This window comes from Homo sapiens, chromosome 6, assembly GCF_000001405.40.
Source record: "Homo sapiens chromosome 6, GRCh38.p14 Primary Assembly".
NCBI lineage: Eukaryota > Metazoa > Chordata > Mammalia > Primates > Hominidae > Homo > Homo sapiens.
Genome location: NC_000006.12, coordinates 51737150 through 51758318, shown reverse-complemented (window position 1 = coordinate 51758318; position 21169 = coordinate 51737150). Strand labels below are relative to the sequence as shown.

General features: G+C 37.7%; 1 protein-coding gene across 22 annotated transcripts in view, besides 2 other annotated features; it reads left to right on the top strand.

The window, feature by feature from the left end:
• The window catches only part of PKHD1 (PKHD1 ciliary IPT domain containing fibrocystin/polyductin), a 472317-nt gene that overhangs the window by 329297 nt on the left and 121851 nt on the right, over positions 1 to 21169 (top strand). For 17 of the 22 annotated variants that reach the window (XR_001743469.2, XM_017010944.3, XM_017010945.3 and 14 more), the window contains 5 exons: positions 3381 to 3535; positions 4966 to 5118; positions 9654 to 10532; positions 11430 to 11598; positions 13777 to 13934. Coding sequence is in view for 21 of the 22 variants with exons in the window: in XM_017010944.3 (XP_016866433.1) it covers positions 3381 to 3535; positions 4966 to 5118; positions 9654 to 10532; positions 11430 to 11598; positions 13777 to 13934 (1514 nt within the window). In the remaining variant the exon portion in view is untranslated. Of the gene's footprint in view, positions 1 to 312; positions 5119 to 9653; positions 10533 to 11429; positions 11599 to 13776; positions 13935 to 14730; positions 16083 to 17719; positions 18797 to 21169 lie in introns of those variants that run through there. The other 5 variants (XM_017010950.2, XM_011514685.2, XM_011514688.3 and 2 more) reach the window with 5 other exon arrangements.
• Positions 13666 to 14166: an enhancer, noted in NCBI's record as "H3K4me1 hESC enhancer chr6:51608951-51609451 (GRCh37/hg19 assembly coordinates)". NCBI's record gives its function as "activates a minimal SCP1, AML or CMV promoter by ChIP-STARR-seq in primed H9 embryonic stem cells {active_cell/tissue: H9 hESC(primed)}" and the evidence as "EXISTENCE:reporter gene assay evidence [ECO:0000049][PMID:30033119]".
• Positions 14167 to 14667: an enhancer, noted in NCBI's record as "H3K4me1 hESC enhancer chr6:51608450-51608950 (GRCh37/hg19 assembly coordinates)". NCBI's record gives its function as "activates a minimal SCP1, AML or CMV promoter by ChIP-STARR-seq in primed H9 embryonic stem cells {active_cell/tissue: H9 hESC(primed)}" and the evidence as "EXISTENCE:reporter gene assay evidence [ECO:0000049][PMID:30033119]".

The following is a 21169-nucleotide window of genomic DNA, read 5'->3' as shown; positions in this document are numbered from 1 at the left end:
ATGGACATAGACGTGGAAGGGGCAATGCTCCTTTGACATCTGTGTATGGTTCTCATGATGTATAGAACCCGAAAGACTTCAGGAGTATAGAGGAAAGATACATTTTAATGAACTCATAAGGTTTGGGAAGCCAGAACAGAAAAGGTCAGATTAAGTTTATTTATGTTTTTAATATAAAGTTTGAACTAATAATTTTAATAATTCCTAGAACATTGTTAGGTGCTATGGGGTTTAGATAGTGATTTTTTTCCTGTTTGCTTTGTTTTCTCTCTCTCTCTCTCTCTCTCTCTCTCTCTCTCTCTCTTTTGGCAGGGTCTCATTCTGTTGCCCAGGCTGCTGGAGTACAGTGGCATGATCATAGCTCACTCCAATTTCAACCTCAGGGGCCTAAGCCATCCTCCCACCTCAGCCTCCCAAGTAGCTGGGACCACAGGTGTGTGACATCATGCTAGGCTACATTTTTTTTTTCTTTTCACTTTTGTAGAGATGGGATCACTCTAGTTGCCCAGACTGGTCTTGAACTCCTGGGTTCAAGTGATCTTCCTGTCTTGGCTTCCCAAAGTACTGGGATTATAAGGCAAGAGGCACTGTACCTGGCCTTATATAGTCTTATTTTTATTAAATATCAATGAACAATAAAAAAGTTGAATGGTCACAGAAGACAAGAATACAAAACCAGTCACAAGGCAATAAACAGCATTTTTTATGTCAAATTGATGGTGGTACAGAAAGTGGGGAGGCTTTGGGCATTCAGTGGAAAGAGACTCCCATTGAAGACTTCTTGAAGGCATAGTGACCGTAGTGACTTGTGTCAGTTTTCAAGAATGAGAGACCTGAAGAGCAAAGTAGGGGAGAGTGAACTGATTCATCTGGCTGGAGCAGATGGCTTATATAAGGAAGTTAGAAAATGAAGCTTTATGAGTTTTAAATTTGCATTAGTGTTCACTCAATGTTAAACAGTTCTATGGATTTTTACAAATGTGTGATCGTGTATATGTACTCCCATAGTATTACACAGAATATTGCCCTAAAAAATCTCATGTGGATGAGTTTTAATCTCACTTTCACATGAAACTTCTCAGAATATTATAGTGACCTATTATTTGAAGAGCTTTATTCAACAATATAAATAATAATAAAAAGATTGTCTAGGTCAGGGGTCCCCAACCCCCAGGGCCACAGACCAGTACAGATCCTTAGCCTATCGGGAACCAGGACGCACAGCAGGAAGTGAGTGGTGGGCAAGGGAGCATTACTGCCTGGGCTCCACCTCCTGTCTGATTAGGGGTCATTAGATTCTCATAAAAATGCAAACTCTATTGTGAACTGTGTATGTGAGGGATCTAGGTTGCATGCTCCTTATGAGAATCTAATGCTTGATGATCTGAGGTAGAACAGTTTCATCCCGAATCCACCTCCCCTGTGGAAAAATTGTCTTCACAAAACTGGTCCCTGGTGCCAAAAAGCTTGGGGACTACTGAGAAATACTAACTATGAAGTAAAGGATTAATTTCAATTATACAGCAGATTGACTTTTTTTTCCCTAACTACAATATACTACCTGATAAGTTAGAAAATTGAGATTTAAGTGAAAATCACTAATAATCCCACCATCCATAGGTAGGCTAACATTTTAACATGCATCTTTCCTATTTTCTGTGCATGTATCATTTTATTAAAAAATGGAGCATATTATTTTACGTCCTGCTTTTTGAAATCAATACATCATGAACAAAATTTCTTGTAATTCAGTGCTCTTCAACAAAATACTTTAAAAATGGCTATACAGTATTCCATTGTATGGATCATAGACTTCTTATAATTTCATAGATTATGAAAAGTGGGAATACTCTTTTTCTAATACCATTTAGCACCTGAAGAACTAAAAATAAGACAGGCAAAGTGAGATTATTTAGTGGAAAAAATGCTGGACTTTATCAGTAGTCTTCCTTTGTCCTAATTCAATCACTGGCTCCATGTATTTATCTAGTCTTACATTTTGTTATTTAAATCTATTTGGAACTTAGTTTCCTTGCCTTTCAAAGCTTGTGGTGCTTAAATATTCTGTAACTGGGAGTTTTCTAGGAAGTCATAGCAAATCAGGAACAGAGCTAAGACTCTAAATTCCTTCATTAAAGTTGCATCAATTGATAGTAGTTTTTTTGTCTTCTCTATGACTCTTTCTCCAACCTTAGGTACGTAGATGTGAATTAATTATAATATTTCATTTATTAGACTCATGCCATTGGCTTGCAAATGATTAGGTTTAATTTATGTTTCCTTTTAGGGGCTTAATACTATATATTAAACATCTGTATTATTAATATGTACTCCCATGGTATTACACAGAATACTGTGTAATACACACCCATACAGTAGACTCTTTAAAGATATGTGCTAGGCAGAATTTAAGTTATGTATTTTAATACAAATGACATATGTTTTATTTATCGTATGTCTCTAGCATCTACTCTATTGTCTGGTGCATAAGATTTGCTCGGTCAATAAAGGTTGCATGATTGAATGCCCTGCACATGGACACTGTTGTCTGAATGAACATTCACTATAGAGGAGACTCTTTATCAAAGCTTGCTAAACTTTGGGCATTAGCTAATGAAGCAGGCAATTAAATTTATGGTGTTGAAGTTGGTAATGACTATGAAGAAAATAAAACAGTCATATTCAGAGGGAATGCTAGGCGGCAGTGAAAGACTGAACAGAAACTGTATTAAATGTGTGTCTTGAAAAATACCAAAAATGAACACAACCCTCATTGTTTCATAATGTGATGAAAGAGAAGACAGAAAGTACAAATATAGCCTTTTCAGATGAGGATATGAAGCCGAGGAGTGAAGTGACTTCTCAAGGTCACACAGCTGGTAAGTGACACCTCTACGATTCACACTTGTATCTGTTTCATCATGAAGGTAGGATTTGTAACACATGATGAAAAGTTGTCCAAAATGTCCAAAGTTGTCAAAAAATGGCATTATATTTCTCTAGAAAATTAGAGAAAAGTTCTTTTCTGAAATGCTGTTATTATTGAATCTGTTCCCTAATCCAGAAAGAAGGTTGCTGATGTAGACATGTGTACTAACCTCTGGAACTTTTATTGTTTTTTATTCCTTTGCTGTATTTCAGGGGTCATCGAATATCTTCACTGTCTCTGTAACATATACATTTTCAAGCCAGAAAACTGACTCCATTAGCTAAATTAAACTGTTTGCGAAAGCCTTTTTCCACTGCCATGTCTTATTTCTATTTCAGTTTCTCTGGTGGGATATGTTGGTCACAGTGGATTTCCTTTTCTTGCTCTGGAGTTAATAGATGATTTGTGCTGCACTGTTAGTATATCCAATGCCATTGTTATGCTGTTACAGAATTATAGTAGAAGATGCAGTGGATTGGCGCCCCCATGACAAAATAGTCCTTAGCTCCTCTTCTTATGAGCCTCATGAAGCAGAGGTCCTCACTGTGAAAGAAGTCAAGGGCCACCATGTGAGGATCTATGAACGGCTCAAACACCGGCATATTGGTAAGGCTTTGGTTTGTTGGTTAAGGTAAGTGAATGAGCTAGGAAGACCATGTTTGGTAACCTAGCTGGGGACCTCGGATCTGATTGCCATTCAGAGGGGAAGAACAATGCCTTCCTGTTGACCTAGACTCATGCTACGTGGCCTTATCTCTATTCCCTCATTAATTTTGTTGCTTTATTTTTAAAGAATACTTGGATGTTATACACATACACACATACACATGCACACACATTTTGCTTTTTATTTATAATGGCAAATCTAAGAGCAGAAGGGTTGAGAGTCTTGTTCAAGGTCACTGGGCAGTTTTCTGGCTAAGCCAGAATAAAACTTATGGGCACTGAGTTTCCAGTTTATTTCCTGACACATTGAATTATAATCCCTTAGAATATTGTAGTTACTGTAAATAATGATTTCATTTTCCATACTTAGAAATGTGTCCTTCCTGACATGAAGTACATTTTATGTATTAACTACTACTATTACTATTACTGCAAAAAATGAAAGAAAAAAGCCCAGACCTTTTTTTAAATAAAAAAGGTACCAAATATTTTTATACACAATACACAGTTAGAATGTACTACATATAAATAATAAATCACAATAACCTTCCTGATTCAGTCTAATAAATAAATCTAATCCAGGAGATATAGCTAATCAGTAATAAACTGTGGAAATAAAGGGGATGGAGAATGTCTTTTTGTCTCTGATACTTGAGAGGCAAATCCATGGTTTCACCAGGAATATCTAAAGCTCTGTCTAAATCAATGTTCCCAGGAGCATTTCTTTTTTAGTAAGTGGCAAAGAAAAAAGAAATCTTCAGCAATGATTTCAGTAAAATGCAAGGTGAAATGCAAATGGTAGACAGTGAAACAAACTAGCAAGACGCTTAGTTCCCACTGCTGTGGAAGCTGTTCAGGCCGTGATGAGTGGAAGATCCACCATGAGAGGGCGCTGCTGCTGCCTGGTGCTGCTTCTCGCTTTCCTTTTACACACAGCTGCTTTTGCTCTGTCACTGCCTCAGTTGATGTGGGACTCCTCACTCTCATGAAAGAGGTCCACGGACAATGTACAACCCAACACTGAAGTCTCACGCTGACCTATTTAAGGCAGGTTGGGGACCCCACTAATTGGACAGGTCTGCCCTGACTTCCCTGAACCAGTGACCTGTTCCAGTACCCACAGTTATTAAGAAGAAATGAATTCTTGCTCAAACACTCTGACTCTGATCCCAAAGAGAGACAAGTGAATGGGTTATTTTATTTCTCAGCTGACCTTTGTGGAGAATGCCCCAGGAAAAGCAGACCTTAATGTTGGTAGAACTTCTGAGGGGAAAGGATGTTTTCATTTCTCAGGTTTGCTGGGTCCCCAGCTAGTGATTTTTGAAACAGGTTTTTAAAGTTTTTTTTTCCCACAACTCCTATTGCCCCAGGAAGTGTACATGTCACGGAGGATGGCCGACACATTCGTTTGGCTGCTGAGGTTGGACTGTTGACCCGAAATATACAAATTCAGCCTGACGTATCATGTAGGGGGAGACTGTTTGTGGGGTCCTTCAGGAAGTCCAGCCGAGAAGAATTTTCAGGTAAATGAAATTTTAAGTAATTGGCCATTACCAGTTGGAGCCTATTCATCTGGGACACCCAGAAATCCCAACTGTGAGAATTTTCATTTATAAAACAAAATGTTCAAATGAGATAGTTCCTTTGTGCTTGGAGAAGCTATGAATTTTCAGTCCTAATCTGTGCTTAATTATCAGTGTGATGTTAAAATAATATACTAGTGGTCAGCACATATGCACATTTTACCTCAAAGAAAACATCTTCAGCAGATGTGAAATTTCCACTGCTTTGAAATTATAGATGATTTAATGACCACTTCAATTTTATCTCTTTCCTGAATTTCTGTTACTCTTTCCCAGTAGCATGCTATATCTGATGGCAGGCATCAGTTCATGCTATAAATTAATAGCGTAAATTTAAATAAAAATGATTTCCATATTTCAGACTGCTTTAAGGATCAGTTCAATCTTTCTTGTTTCTTTCAAGTTTTAGCCCTTTTGGAATGCTGCAAAATTATTTGATTAGGACCTCGTTTCTTAAACTTGTGTTCCTTATACATTATTCCAAAGTTCTTTCCTGATCAAATAGTTTGGTTGTCACTGTAGCTCCAACTTATAAAATCGTGGTGTACATGAATATATAAAGGCCTGGAGAAGGCCGAGAATAAAGGATCTAAACACTTCCCAAATATATTCAGTATGGGACACTCTTTGTTGGCACAACTATTTTACCAGTTTTGTAAAGGGCAGTGTTTGGACCTTAAATCAGACATTTAAGATTTCTAGTTAATAGAGCAAGCTCTGTCTCCATAAGCCGTTATCAGTGGTGATTTCTGCCCGCTACCCCAGGTGATATTTGGCAATATCTAGAGACATTTTTACTTGTCACAACTTGAGGGAGCTTCTGGCATGTATGGGTAGTGCCAAACATCTTGCATGCACAGGACGACCACCCATAGGAAAGGAGTATCTGGCTCCAAATGTCAATAGTGTTGAGGTTGAGAACCCTGCTCTAGATGATGGAGACAAAGGCTGGTTCAAATCTTTTAAGAATTGAACCATTCTTTTAAGAACCCCATTCTAAGGTTGAGGAAGATGGGGAATCAGGAAGGAGAGAGCAAGATAAGCCCCCAGTTAACTGAAGCCACAGGGCAAGCTGGAGCATGGTCACAGGAACAGGACAGAAGGCCAGTTCTTACAGCTGAGCACCAAGCCAGAGCAGAACCAGCAGCAAGACTGACCTGATCCTAAACTTCTAACAATGCTGATCCTTAAATCATCCCCTGGGGAAGGGAAACAGAAACTCTATTTTGTGTTTCTTGTGGACCAGAAACTGTGCTGGTTTTCATACAGTGAAAATTTTATCTTATTTAATCCTAAAATCCTCATAAGAGAAATTTATATTCCTATTACAGGAAATAGAGTCTATAGTACAATTGCCTATTTATTTATGTAGCTCCTTCATTAGCTTATAAACTCCTTGAGGTGAAAAATAGGTCTTTCATCTGTTTTCCTAGTGTGGTAACTGCTGTACATTAGGTACTTAATAAATATGAATGAAAAATATTAATGAAGAGTAAGGAAAGTCATTCAAGTAGTAAGTGGTAGATTCGAGCCTGGTTCTTGTTAATTAAACTTTTAATTTTGTAATAATTTTGGATTTATAGAAAAGCTGCAAAGGTAGTATAGAGAGATCCTGTATACCTTTCACTCAATTTTCTTCCATTAATAGCTGATATAATACTAGTATATTTGTCAAAACAAAGACATTAACATTGGTACATGACCATGAACTAAACTCAAGACTTTCTTCAAATTTTATCAGTTTTTTTCTGTTCCAGAATTCAATTCAGGTTTATACCCTGCATTAAGAATGCTTACATTTTTCTATAACATAGTCCAGGGCCTGAATAAGAAGGGATCTGCAGGTGTAGGTCAGGGATGGCAGATATGGGTACTGATTTGTTATAGACCAGAAAAGCAGGCCAAGACTTTTGAGTCCTACTTTTATATTGGAGGGCTCCATCATTCTTCTCTTCCTGAATAATACCCAGCAAGTTGTACTTAACTTGCTGAAATATTTTTCAGTAGTGATTTTCAAAAGGAAAAATAGGAAAATAGTTGTGAATAAAATAATTGCTTCATTCAGGCTGGGCACTGTGGCTCATGCCTTTAATCCTAGCACTTTGGGAGGCTGAAGTGGGCAGGTCACTTGAGGTCAGGAGTTCGATACCAGCTTGGCCAACATGGTGAAACCCTGCCTCTACTAAAAATATAAAAATTAGCCAAGCATGGTGGCATGCACCTGTAGTCCCAGCTACTTGGGAGGCTGAGGTGGTAGGATCACTTGCACCCTGGAGATGGAGGTTGCAGTGAGCTGAGATCATGCCACTGCATTCCAGTGTGGGTAACAGAGTGAAACTCCATCTCAAAAAAAATTGCTTAATTCTTTATTTAATGCTCAAGACATTTTAAGTCTTTACTAATTGATTAATTTTCAGTCATTGGTTAATGTGCACAGCAGTAAAAAGACCTTGTACAGTTTAAAACTATGAATCAAATCCATGGAAGCATAAGACATTAAAAAAACTGATAATTAAAATAATCCTGAGAGCTTCTGGATAGCCGAACATGTGGAGCTTCCTAGACTAAGGTGGCGCACCCGGGGAGGGAATGGGAGCTGCATGCCCTTCCCTCATGCCGTGCCCTACACATCTCTTTATTTATCTCCCTTGTAATATCATTTATAAGAAACCTAGGAAATAACAATAATACTGACATGTTGCCTTGACAGAGATTCTAAAATCACATTAAATGCTAAAAATAAGCTATTTATTTATGGACTTATGCTTGCATTTGGTGTTCTTTGTGCCAAAGTTCTACGAAGCAGGTTTGCCAGCTCTTTCAGCTATGTGCTATTGGTGAGGGATATTGCCCAAGAAATAGCTTTTGGATGTTTTATTGTTCTGTGAATATGTCCACACCATCTACGAATGCCTCCTCAATAGCACCCATTGAGAAATTTAGATACTTCGGAATCCTGTTGCCTGGCCCCAAGTAGACGTATAGGTTCCTTTACTTAGCCTGTCTTTCTCAAAAGGACTTGCTTCTTCATGGCAGCCGATTTGCAAGGGTTCTAGTTTCTCATTTCTGAAAAGGTAGTGGAGAAATGAGGGGTTTAGGCTGTACTGCCTTTGAAACTTAAATACTATTAATACTATTATTGAAACAGTGAAACAGAAACTTCAAATGTATTGCTTCCTTTATTTTTAATGAGATAAATAACTTTATAGTTTACTTTAGTCAGTACCTTAAAAATGAAATAAAAGGAGCCAAAGTTGTGACCTACCTAGCAAAGGACACACAACTAATTATTGGCTCATAGCTATAGGGCAGTTATCTGAATCATAATGCAGAGATGCTACTTTTGTACCACAAAGTCTTTCTGTCTTTCCAGGATGCCTGCATGGGGTTAATAGTGCGGCTTCTCATCCATATGCCTAAGTTTAAGTCCTAGTTTGTTAGTTCACTCTTCTCTGCCTCAATTTCCTTATCTGTAAAATGGGGATAATAATTGTACCTACCTCATAGGATTTTTTTGAAAATTAGGAGTATGAATAAATAAATGAATAAGAATTAGAACGGTGTCTGCAAATAATGAGTGTTATGTGAGAGTTAAAGTATTTAATTCACCTCATTATTATTGCATATTAATTCATCTATAATCATGTTATTATTAATTTTACCAAAAGTATGTATGCTGAATCATTGTATTTTTAAATCAACTTACTGGGTGTATTTTATAGTGTGTTTTAACAATATCTATTTAAAACAGTACAAATAAAACTACAAATGAGAGTAAATAATTCACTATTTTCTCCTCACATAAAAGATATAGAAAATCTTATAAAAATGAAACAGTGAATAAAGTGTAGTCAGGATAAAAATATAGAAAACATTTTACAGAATCTTTAAAGTGATTTTAAAAGCATGTTATTGCTCCTACCATGTTTTAATCAGAAGCATGTATGGAATATCAGGCTTCTGGACATCAACTGAGCAGAAGGAAATTTCGCACTCATACTCTTCTTCAGAAATGCTTAATATTCATTTGTGCAGTGTCTTCTTGGGAATGGCTGTGGCCTTTCACGTGGTGTCACTGAGACACTGAGAGGGAGACTTGACTTTGAGGTGAAGGGCCAGAAACCCAGAATCTATTCTTACCCAGTTCTTTGACCCGGCCCCCGACAAATACACAGAATCGTTAAACTTGGCCATGCCCATCCCCAAAGTTTGCCTCTTTCCTATTTCTCCTCTCATCTTTCCCTGTCCTGTCACCAGACTCTTCAGACTGCACATGCAATTCAGGCATTAATGTGATACTTGTAATGATTCCTACATTTTTAGTTGAGAATCTATGGTGTGAAATATAATGTTGGTGTTGAGAATAAACTTACATTTTCATTAAAAATGTTCATATCTTAATGCCCCAAAATGGGCCATTCTTCAGCCTTTTGTGGGGAAGAGGAAAGTACCTGATGACATGCATTTGTTTATAGGTGTCCTTCAACTTCTTAATGTGGAAATTCAGAACTTCGGGTCACCATTGTACTCATCTGTTGAATTCAGTAATGTGTCAGCAGGATCCTGGATCATATCATCTACTCTGCACCAGAGCTGTGGCGGGGGCATTCATGCAGCTGCCAGTCATGGAGTACTTTTAAATGACAATATTGTGTTTGGCACAGCTGGCCATGGCATAGATTTAGAGGGTCAGGCCTATACTGTCACTAATAACCTTGTGGTTCTGATGACACAGCCAGCGTGGTCCACCATTTGGGTGGCGGGAATCAAAGTGAACCAGGTAAAGGACATCAACCTCCATGGCAACGTTGTGGCAGGATCAGAGAGACTTGGCTTTCACATCCGAGGCCACAAGTGCTCCTCTTGTGAACTGCTTTGGTCTGACAATGTGGCGCATTCAAGTCTTCATGGCCTTCATCTCTATAAGGAAAGTGGACTTGACAACTGTACCAGAATCTCTGGCTTCTTGGCTTTCAAGAACTTTGACTATGGTGCCATGTTACATGTAGAGAACAGCGTGGAGATAGAGAACATTACTCTGGTAGACAATACTATTGGTCTTTTGGCAGTAGTGTATGTATTTTCTGCTCCACAAAATTCCGTCAAAAAAGTGCAGATTGTGCTTAGGAATTCAGTCATTGTGGCCACCAGCTCTTCTTTTGACTGCATTCAGGACAAAGTGAAGCCGCACTCAGCCAACTTGACATCAACAGATAGAGCTCCCTCCAATCCAAGAGGAGGTCGAATTGGTATTCTGTGGCCTGTATTCACCTCAGAACCAAATCAGTGGCCTCAGGAGCCATGGCACAAAGTGAGGAATGATCATTCAATTTCAGGAATCATGAAACTTCAAGGTAGGATGTTTTATTTTATCTAGGCAGTGCCATTTCATACATCCATGCATAAAATTTTTAATGGCATTCTGAAATTTTATCAACAAAAAGGTACATTGTGGTCTAGTGCTTGCTGTCCAACCTGCTGAGTATTGATAGCCACAATGGTAGTTTATAATTTCTTACAAAAGTCACTGCTTTATACATATTGAAGAGCTTTCTACAACAACTATTATTTTTTAATAAAATTTAAAAAATTTGAATATAATGAGATGGGATCTTGCTATCTTGACCAGGCTGGTCTCAAACTCCTGGCCTCAAGCAGTCCTCCCATCTCAGCCTCCCAAAGTGTTGGGATTACAGGCATAAGCCACCACTCCCGGCTAACACAGCAATTATTTAACTTGATTACATAAGAACTCTCTTGGTTAGGTGTTATTTTTCCTATTATACAAGTGAGGAAATTGAAATGTAGAAGTTGTGTCTCATCTGAAGTTGCTTAGTAGATGGTTGAGCAACGAGGGTTAAAATCAAAGTTGTGACACGACTGGTGCAGTTCATCTTCTATTAGATCTCTTGTACCACCATTGTAGTCTCTCCCCTGTTACTTAGTTTATCTGGCAGTGGGTTTGTCTTTCTGTAAAATGAATGGATTTTGATTAAGCCTCAAATGAAAAGCCATATTGCTCTTAAAGGTTTAACGTATTGAAATACTCTTCTCTGTTGCATGCAATGTCCATGTATTGAAGAACTACTGATATTTTATATCAAGATGTATGTAAACTCCTAAGGCTATCCTGGATAGCTTTAACTAACTTAGGGTATACATTATTATAACAATATTTAGTTGTATATTCGATATTTGTGGCTGGTGGTTTATATGATATAATATTATGATACATATTTTTAAAATTTCAGATGTTACCTTTTCTAGTTTTGTGAAGAGTTGCTATAGCGATGACCTGGATGTCTGCATTCTACCAAATGCAGAGAACAGTGGAATTATGCACCCAATAACAGCAGAGAGGACCAGGATGCTAAAGATAAAAGATAAAAACAAGTTCTACTTTCCTTCATTACAACCCAGGTATAATTTTTAGTATTTATAATAAGCCATATTTATGAAGTACTTGGCAATTCTTCAAACCCTAAACATGTTTTTTGAAAGGAATAAAATCATCAAAGAAATAGAAATGAATCTTAGAATGGTAAGGTACATTAACTTAATGACCAATTCTTTACCCCTCCTATATTCACGCCTTGTGATATATGATTTTTAAAATATCTCTCACTAAAGAGGCAGGGGCTATTTCCCTCCCCCTTGAATCTGGACTCAGCCATGTGATTTTCTTTAGCTGATGAAAGAGGCAGAAGTAATGAAGTGCAAGTTTTATTGATATTGTTTTATTGTTTTGTCTTAATTAGAGAGACTTCTTTGGGATGTTTTCAAACTTGCTGGTAATAAATTGACTCTAATTCTTCATTCTTCATTGGAGTAAAGTGTCAGTGGTCTTCAGAAGGAGACCTTGGGAGCCTTTTGTGCAGGAACTAGTAGATAGAAGGAGATTGTGTCTGCTGACAGGAATCTCTGAACTGAACGATGAGGTCTAGCAGATATTGGTATTTCAGACCAGGTGTAAATACTGTTTTCTGACATATGATCTAAGAGTTTCATTCAAATATGTGAAAATTAGATAGGATTTTTTTATGCCATGAAAGAGAGTAGAAAGTTAGAAACAGGAAGAATGAATTACTTTTTCTTTCCCACAACACTGGGGCAAACTCCTTTATTGGAAGAAAAAAAAACAAAGCAAAAAACTAAAGAAGCCACCCTAATTAGAACATTCATGTGTTTGGCTTAACACGAGTCTCTTTTTGATGCCTATCCCTGAATCATGATTAGGTACCTAAACATGAGTAGGTAGGCAATTTGTGTTGTTTTGTCACTTTTTAAAATTTACTATCCAATTTTCCTTATGTTCATGTCTTATCCCGGGCTGATATAGCTGTTAAGTTACATGTCTTAGTCTGTTTGTGCTGCTATAACAAAGTACCACAGACTGGATAATTTATGAAGAACAGAAATTTATTTATTTTATTTTTGGAGATGGGGTCTCACTGTGTCACCCAGGTTGAAGTGCAGTGGCACAATCATGGCTAACTGCAGCCTTGACCTCCTGAGCTCAAGTGATCCTCCCGCCTCAGCCTCCCAAAGTTTTGGGATTACAGGCTGAACCACTGCACCTGGACATAAATTTATTTCTTATAGTTCTGGAGGCTGGGGAGTCCAAGATCAAACACTGGCATAATAGGCGTCTGGTGAAGGTTTCTCCCTCCTTCCAAGATGGTGCCTTGTTCGTGCATCTTCCAGAGGGGAGAAACGCTGTGTTCTCACATAGGAGAAGAAATGGAAGGGCAAGAGAGTACTCTCTTCATCCTCAAGCCCTTTTATAAGGGTACTATCTTATTCATGAGAATTGAATCCTCATAGCTTTATCACTTCCCAAAGGCCACACTTCTTAATACTGTTTCATTAAGGATTAAGTTTCAACATGAAATTTGAAAGGACCATCATTCAAATCATAGTACTATGTGATATTAACAGCTGAATCTTTGTGCTGATAATACTCAATACATTGTTGGTATACAATAAATATTTAATATTATTACTAATGGTATTTCAAAGCATTAGATTAGGGGAAATAAAATAAGTTCTCTGTAAGTCAACATTATAATTATCTATTAATTGTTTATATAGCCCACTTGACTCTAAATTCTGAAAGTGCAGTGCCATGTTTGGCTTTATTACCATCATGTTACCCAGCCTGTCTTTTGTAGGTTTTCAATAGATATTTGTTGAATGAGAATATCTATTTTTCTTTGCATATAGCATAAATATAATTGATATTTATAATAATTCTAAAATACTGCAAACCCCTGAAATTCCTAAAAATAATTATATTATGTTCAGTTGTTATGAGAGGAACACTTTATTGTATCTTGCTTCTTAAAAAATCAGCAATCTATATAAAGATTACATATTAGGATATCCAAAATATTTGGTTAGTAAGAATGTCTTTCTTCTTGACCATATAATTGGGAAATAAATTATTTCATAAAGAGTTTTATTTTATATCTATGTAACACATTGTCAATAATAAAAATCTGTTGAATTTATTTTAAACAACATTAGCACTACCAATGTATATTTTCTTCTTGCTGCTTATCATGAAATGAAAGAGTTGCTTTTTGACTGTCTTCACAGGAAAGATTTAGGAAAAGTAGTCTGTCCTGAATTAGACTGTGCAAGTCCAAGAAAATATCTCTTCAAGGATCTGGATGGGAGAGCCCTGGGTCTGCCTCCACCAGTTTCTGTATTTCCTAAAACAGAGGCAGAATGGACTGCATCCTTCTTCAACGCAGGTAAGCTATATCTGAATGCAATGCCTGTGGTAGAGGCAAGGGTGCTTGTGAAGGAGCTGGTTTTGCTGTGCTCACTGAGAATGAAATGTACTGGTGAAGACCTAAATTCTAGAGTTGGAGTCTGTGCTAATCTGCTGCCAATTCACCTGTATTACAGGAATGCTGAGTCATTATGTGATCTCACAACTTTACTGCTGTGCCCTCTATGAGATTGCCTGTGTCCATGTCAAAAGTGCAGATTCTCAATGCCCAACTTAGTGCACAGCTGGGAGGACAGTTCTCGCCCAGCTTGGGCACTTGGGCCTGAAGCAGCCATCATGCTCAGTGTTTCATACTGGTCTGCCATGGAACCAGCTCCTTTTTCTTTAAGCTTACCTTTCTTTTCTGTCAGGACTTAAAGCGCTCTCTCAATGGTAGGGTAGATGTCATGTGTTTTGTCTCCCTTTTCTCCATTCTCCAACTCTCCCCCAAACAAGGCTGTGCTCCAAACTTCTTCCTCTTCTTGCTTATGCAAACAAAGCACCCTTTTATGTCAATTTTTATGGCTGGACCCCTGGAGAGATCATTGTCTTTTTATTTCCACTAACAAGCTGACTCTGAATTCTCATTTGTGTTCAGCTGGAACCTGCTCCGGTCAAATGTAAAGAAGTTTTTCTGTTTTCTCCCTATCTCATTAGTTGATTCTTTTTAGATTTCTTTTCTGGTCTCCCTTGTCCTTTTAAATTTTTGAATGTGTGACTTTCACAGGACTATGTCCTGAGACCTTTTTCCTTCTTTCTCTAATTTTGCTCCCCAGGACCAAGACTGAAATACCATCAAATGCTGATGACTTCCAATTTATATCCTCAGCCTAGACTCGACCCTGAAATTTGGTCTAGTATAGCCAACTGACTTTACTTGGAAAGATAGTAGACATCTCAGACTCAATATGCCTCAAAAAGATTCTTGATCTCTTCCCCAATCTACAACCTGCTTCTTGCCTAGCTGTCCCTACCTCAGTAATTGGTGCCACCATTCATTAGGCTATTTAAGTAAAAAACCTGGGAGTCATCTTTTATTTTTCTTTTTCCTAACCCAAATTCTCAAACTTCTCATTTCCTCCACTACTACCACCCTCACCATTCCCTTTACTACTAGCCACCATTGTCTCTCACTAGATGAGGGAATAGCCTCCTTGCTGGTCTTCTTTCTTCTACTTTTGTAGTCTCTAGTCTATTCTTCACACATGGCCAGAGGGATATTTTCAGCTTTCCACCCATTCAGAATGAAGTCCCAGCTACAAGCCTGTAAGTCTTGTAGCCCCTGGTTCCTGCCCACTCTCTCACCTCCTCTCTTGTGACACGCCTTTTACTTACTTATCCTGGTCTCTTATTTTTCGTTTAACATGGTATGTGTATCACTACATCAGGGCGTTTGTGCTGGCTTTTTCCTCTTCCTGGAATATTTTATTCTCACTTCTTTGGGAGCTAGTTCCCGCTGTTCAAATAAGGTACCCTCAGAGAAGCCATCCTTGACCACCCTATCTAAAATAATCATGAGATCATTTTTCTGTAGCTCTACTGTGCTTGCTTTATTGTTTGTTAGAGTCGTGGTACTTAACATTATATTATAAATGTAATTGCTTATGTTAATGTACTGTTTATCCTTTTTAGAACACAAACTTCATGAGGGCAGGATTTTTTTTTTGTTGTTCACTGATGTGTATTTGGGGGTTACTCAATAAATTTTGGTTGACTGATCAAATGAATGGATTATAAGTAACCAGCCAGAAGAGTTTGCTGTTACACGTCATCCAAGAGCATGCAGAATGAACTGAGGCCTTCAGGTCATTGGTTTAAGAATTTATCTGTAATATGAAAGCCTAAAATGCAGACAGTTCTATGTATCTTTTTACTTGTTTTCACCTTTCTTTCACCTGAACTACTGCTACAGTACAGCATTTGACATTTGGAGCTGTTTCTACATATGATTCTTTTAATTACCATAAAATTTCATGCTTGAATATTTATACTTTTTAACATTTATTTTATGTTTTTCCATATGTTGAAGGCTTATCTCTGGAATAGAGTGAAAAGCTGTAAGGACTACAGTATTGGTTTTAAAGTCAGTGCCAAGCGCATGGAAATGCTGAATAAATGTTCGTTTTAATGTGTTGGTTGCATTTGTTGAATAGAACCAGCAAATATATTTTTTGCACAGAAGAATGAAATTCAGGGACACATTTATACTGAGAAAATATGTGGGTAGCACTAAAAAGAAAGTAGCAAAAGAAGAAAAGATAAGGGGTTACCCTCCTATTTACCCCTAGATCTACTCAAATGGTGTTCTATAGTAAGTTTTCTATTGGTTTTAAGAATTATTCCACCATTACAGGTATTTATGCTATGGGGAAAACATTCTGATATGTTAAAATAAGCACATGCCTAATTGTGGGACTTTTCTGGACTTGAGCTTTTGGTGAGGATCCCATTTCTTTGGAATCCATAAGGGATGTATGTTCCAGAGTATTTGATGAAAATTATATTTTATCCTAACAGAAGGGAATAAAGACTGAAGATAGTGTCTTAGTTTGGGTTGTCCCAGAAGCAGACCCTGATACAAGGCTTAGAATCCAAGTAGTTTAATGGGGGGCGATCCTATAAAACACCAGTAGGAAAATGAGGAAGTATCCTAGGAAAAGAAATAAGGCCAATAAGGGAAGTGTTATCAAACTGGTTACCACTGTGGAAGCTGGCGCTCAAGTCTGATAGGGAACTGCGGGAGACCATGGGAACAGCACCCCAAATTATCCCAGCCAAGCCACAGGGAAGCTCATGTGTTAATATTTCAAATCCTGGCTCCCCTGTCTTGGAGCTTACCTTTCTTTTCTGTCAGGACTTTGGGGGATGCTTTGGGGACATTAACTCTCCAGCCCTTTGGCTTTCTCTGAACACAGGCTAACTGTGCTCTTCCTTGAGGCCACCAAAAACTCTCAGAAGGAAAAAAAAAAGAGAAAAACATTGATACCAAAATTATCAAAAGAAAAAAAGCTTTTTCAGAAGGAAGTCATAGGTTTTGTGGTAGCAGCCTTTGGTGTATGAAGGTGAGTGCCAAAAATACATGGGTGTGGCATCAAAAGCATCCCTTACAAATAGAAACTCTAAAATGTCAGTCAGATTCTCCATGTTTAATCATAAGAGTGTTCATTTTAGGTGGTTGCTTACCAGATGGTGTAATATGCTATTTAGGCACAAATATGTTCTTGCTGCTGGTTGCAATGGTAGAATATTTGCTTTTTCTCAGTTCTTTACCATGGCTGTCAAACATGATTCAATGGTAAAACTCCATGAGTAATATCATATTACACACGATTTACTATCAGTGTGTGGACAAGCATGTATGTGTGTGAGTGGCTGAATGTCTGTATGGAGGTATATATGACTGATTGCCTAAACCCCTGATGTTTTAGAGCTTTATAACATTTTAAATGAGGTTGCTATAGGTACCAACTGCAAGGATTCCCACAGTGGAATCTGCTGTTTACTGCACTAAAAATACAATCTGTGTCCTCTTGCAATGAAAGAGACAGCACATAGTAAATGGTGCCTTCCGGGTGCTGACAGGATTGCAGTATTTTTCTTTGACTTCCAAAGTATGAGTAAATCCCTTCTTCCTTAATGCAAATTTCTTTTCATTATTAAACCATTTTCTCTTAGCTACTTTGCAGTTACTGTCCACAGTCTGTTGGATGAAAAAAGCACAGATTTAATCTTAGGATAATTAATGACTATTTTGTATTTTTTCAGTTCAAGACAAGAATCTATTATCATCTTCAGTAAATCAGAGAAAGCAATGCAGCTAAGGTGAAGATGGAGACCACTGGAATTTTATATTTATTCCAAATGTCATTGAGTTTAACAGACCCTTATATCCTTTCCATATTTTTTTAAACATATCTCTCCAAGTCATTTGGAATCCATTGCCTTTGAGGTTTATTTTTAATTTGGAAAATAACAGATTTTATTTGCACATATAAGTTCGTACAAAAACTACTCACCCAGACAGATATCCACAGGTCCCAGCATATTGTCATATTAGGAGCAAAAACCATCCATGTGGATCAGCTCTGAGGAACACTCTGCCAGTGGGTTTTGCTATCTGTGTAATGCAGGATGTGTAGCCAGGGGAGAAGAGAGCTGCTAATTTTGATTTATACTTATCTGTAAGTTTGCATGTGCAGCCAACTTGGAAAAATGTATAACAGTAGAGAGCAAGACAGCTCATGCCAAGCAGGTGATCTTCTGAGAACCATTTACATTTTATTCTCGAAAGGATTTCTTTTGATTATGGAGGCATCTGATGATCTGAACATTCAAAATCATTTAGAAGAACAAAGCATTGAAATTAATGTCCCATTCAGGTAGAATTAGGCAGATACCAAAGCTTTCCATTCTGGCTCCAAACTCAGTTTCCGTCTGTCCCAGACTACAAATGGATGGCATAACCTCACACCCCGGTTCACACATGTGGGGCACCAGCAGTGTCAGGAGGCAGCAGAAAGAAATCAGAGCTTCAGTTTCAACAGAATTTAACAATTTCTCAGCCATGACAAAAAAAAAAGTGGAAGGGAGGTAAAATGAAAACTAGCATTGCATGAGCACCTTTTTTATGCTACACGCTGAAATTGGCATTTTCATTCATTTGGCAAGTGTATTTTGCCTACTTTCTGTCTACCAGAGCGTCTCTAAGCATGGAAACTATAGCAATGAGCAAAACAACATTTCTGCTGCCATCAAACTTATGTTCCAGTAGGGTTAGGTACATAAACAAATAAAAATTCCAGAGGTACATAAACAAAATTCCAAATAAAAAATATTCTGGGATCTGTGGCTCATGCCTATAATCCTAGCACTTTGGGAGGCTGAGGCAGGCAGATCACCCAAAGTTGGGAGTTGGAGACCAGCATGGCCAATGTGATGAAAATCCGTCTCTACTAAAAATAGAAAAATTAGCCAGGTATGATGGCACATGCCTGTGATCCCAGCTACTCAGGAGGCTGAGGGATGAAAATCGCTTGAACCCGGGAGGCGGGGGTTACAGTGAGCCAAGATGACGCCACTGCACTCCAGCCTGGTTGACAGAGTGAGACCTGTCTCTAAAACAATTATATATATTATATATATAATACATGTACATACACATGCACACATATATATGTGTATGTGTATGTATATAACATGAGTATATTTTATATGTGTGTATGTATGTATTTTATATATATGTAAAAAAATATATAAATATATATAAAATACATATTAAAATATATAAAAAATATATAAAATACGTATATATAAAATAAAAAATATATATATATAAAGTACATACACACACACACACACATTCCAGGAGAGATGAGAAGGATGGAAAAAATACAATAGTGTTTTGGGCTAGAAAGGTAGTTTGAGTTGTCTGTGTGTGTGTGTGTCTTGTGTGCAGGCGAATTGCTATTTGAAATAGTTGCATTTCAAATGAGACCTGAATGGGGAGTGAGGAGTGCCTGCCCTGAGCAGAGGGAGGAGACTTCCAGGCAGAGGGAGCAGCCAGGGCAGGGACTCTGAGATCCAAAAGGGCCTCAGCATGTGTGAGAGGTGGGTGGAAAGGAGACCACTGTGTGCAGTTTTTGAGAGAAGAAGCAGTTGCAGATAGACAGGAGCCAGCCTCTTTCTTGGCCAGAGTAAAAGGTTTGGATTTTATTTCAATTTATTTATTTAGTGTACATTTCAGATGTACAGCATGATGTTTTGATACTCTTACACATAGTAAAATGACTACTATAGTGAAGCAAATGAACATATCCATCATCTCACATGGTTAACCACCCCTACTTTTTGTGACAAGAGCACCTATAATTCATAGTATTAGCAAAAATCGTGACTACAACACAGTATTATTAACCTAGGGTCCTCACGTTGTGAATTACACCTCTGGACTTATTCGCCTTACATATCCTTACATATCTGCAACTCTGTGTCCTTTGACCAACATCCCCTCATTTCCTCTCACTCCCAAACCCCTGTCTCTGTTAACCACAGTTTTATTTCCTATTTCTATATATTTTGGGAGATTTTAAGAAAGGTGGCAGTAGGATTTTCCTTGCTCCCTGAAAAGATTGTGCTAGCTGTGTTGGAGTGCGCTAGCTGTCTGGAGGCGGGCAGTGCAGCCAGGAAGCTGTGCAGGTGGAAGGGGAGCAGGTGGGGCTTGGAGGTAGCTGCTCCACGCGTGCTGGCCCACAAACTATCGGCTACCTGTCTACAGTGAGGTATTCACAGAAATTTACCACTTAGAAACACAGCAATTTGGCAGAGTAATTTTATGTCTGTTGAGTCTAATAAGTAAACGTGGGGCTTATAGTTTGTATATCTAATTTGTCTGATTATTTGTATTTTTTTAAATTATTACTCTTCAATAGACTGAAAATTTTAAAACAAAACAAACCCCCCTCATTCTCCTGCCAATATTTTTTTATGATGTGGTCAGGACACTAGCTACTAAAACTGACTTATCATTAGGATCATCTAGGACATTAAACATTCATTGGCATGTAGGGAGATTTTGAATCAATAGATGTGTGTAAAGTCCAGACCTTTGAGTTAAACACACACACACACACACACACACTCACACACACACAAACAATAAGTGATTCTGCTGTGTTAGGCTTGAGAATCATCACTATAGAGTTATATGTTCCTTTTGAAGTAAATAAACAAGATATTAAGAAGACAATATTTTTAATTTAGTGAGTGGATAGTTTCAAATTTTCATGAATAATCAAGAATTAGCTCTCTGTGCCAAATACCAACAGATATAAACATACTTGCTTATGAACACACTGAATATATTTCCACAAGAGAAAAGAACATTAGCTAAAAAGATTCAGGAATATTTACAATCTTAATTATTTGAATAAAAACAACATATTAAACCTCTTTTTAAATGGATCATTTTTCCTAGAAGTGAGGTGACTGACCTCAAAATGTCACTTTCATAATATATCAGTGGATAAAAATGGGTTTGATACTAAGTGTATGTTTTAAATGCCACATAGAATAGTTATATTAAAAATATAAACTCACGATAAGCTTTTCCCACACTTTCCTTGGCATTATTTCCAGCAAAGTACTGTGGTCTGACCAAGATTTCTGACCACATACACCTTCAGGGCAGGTGAGTTTCCCATTCTTTACCATGAGACA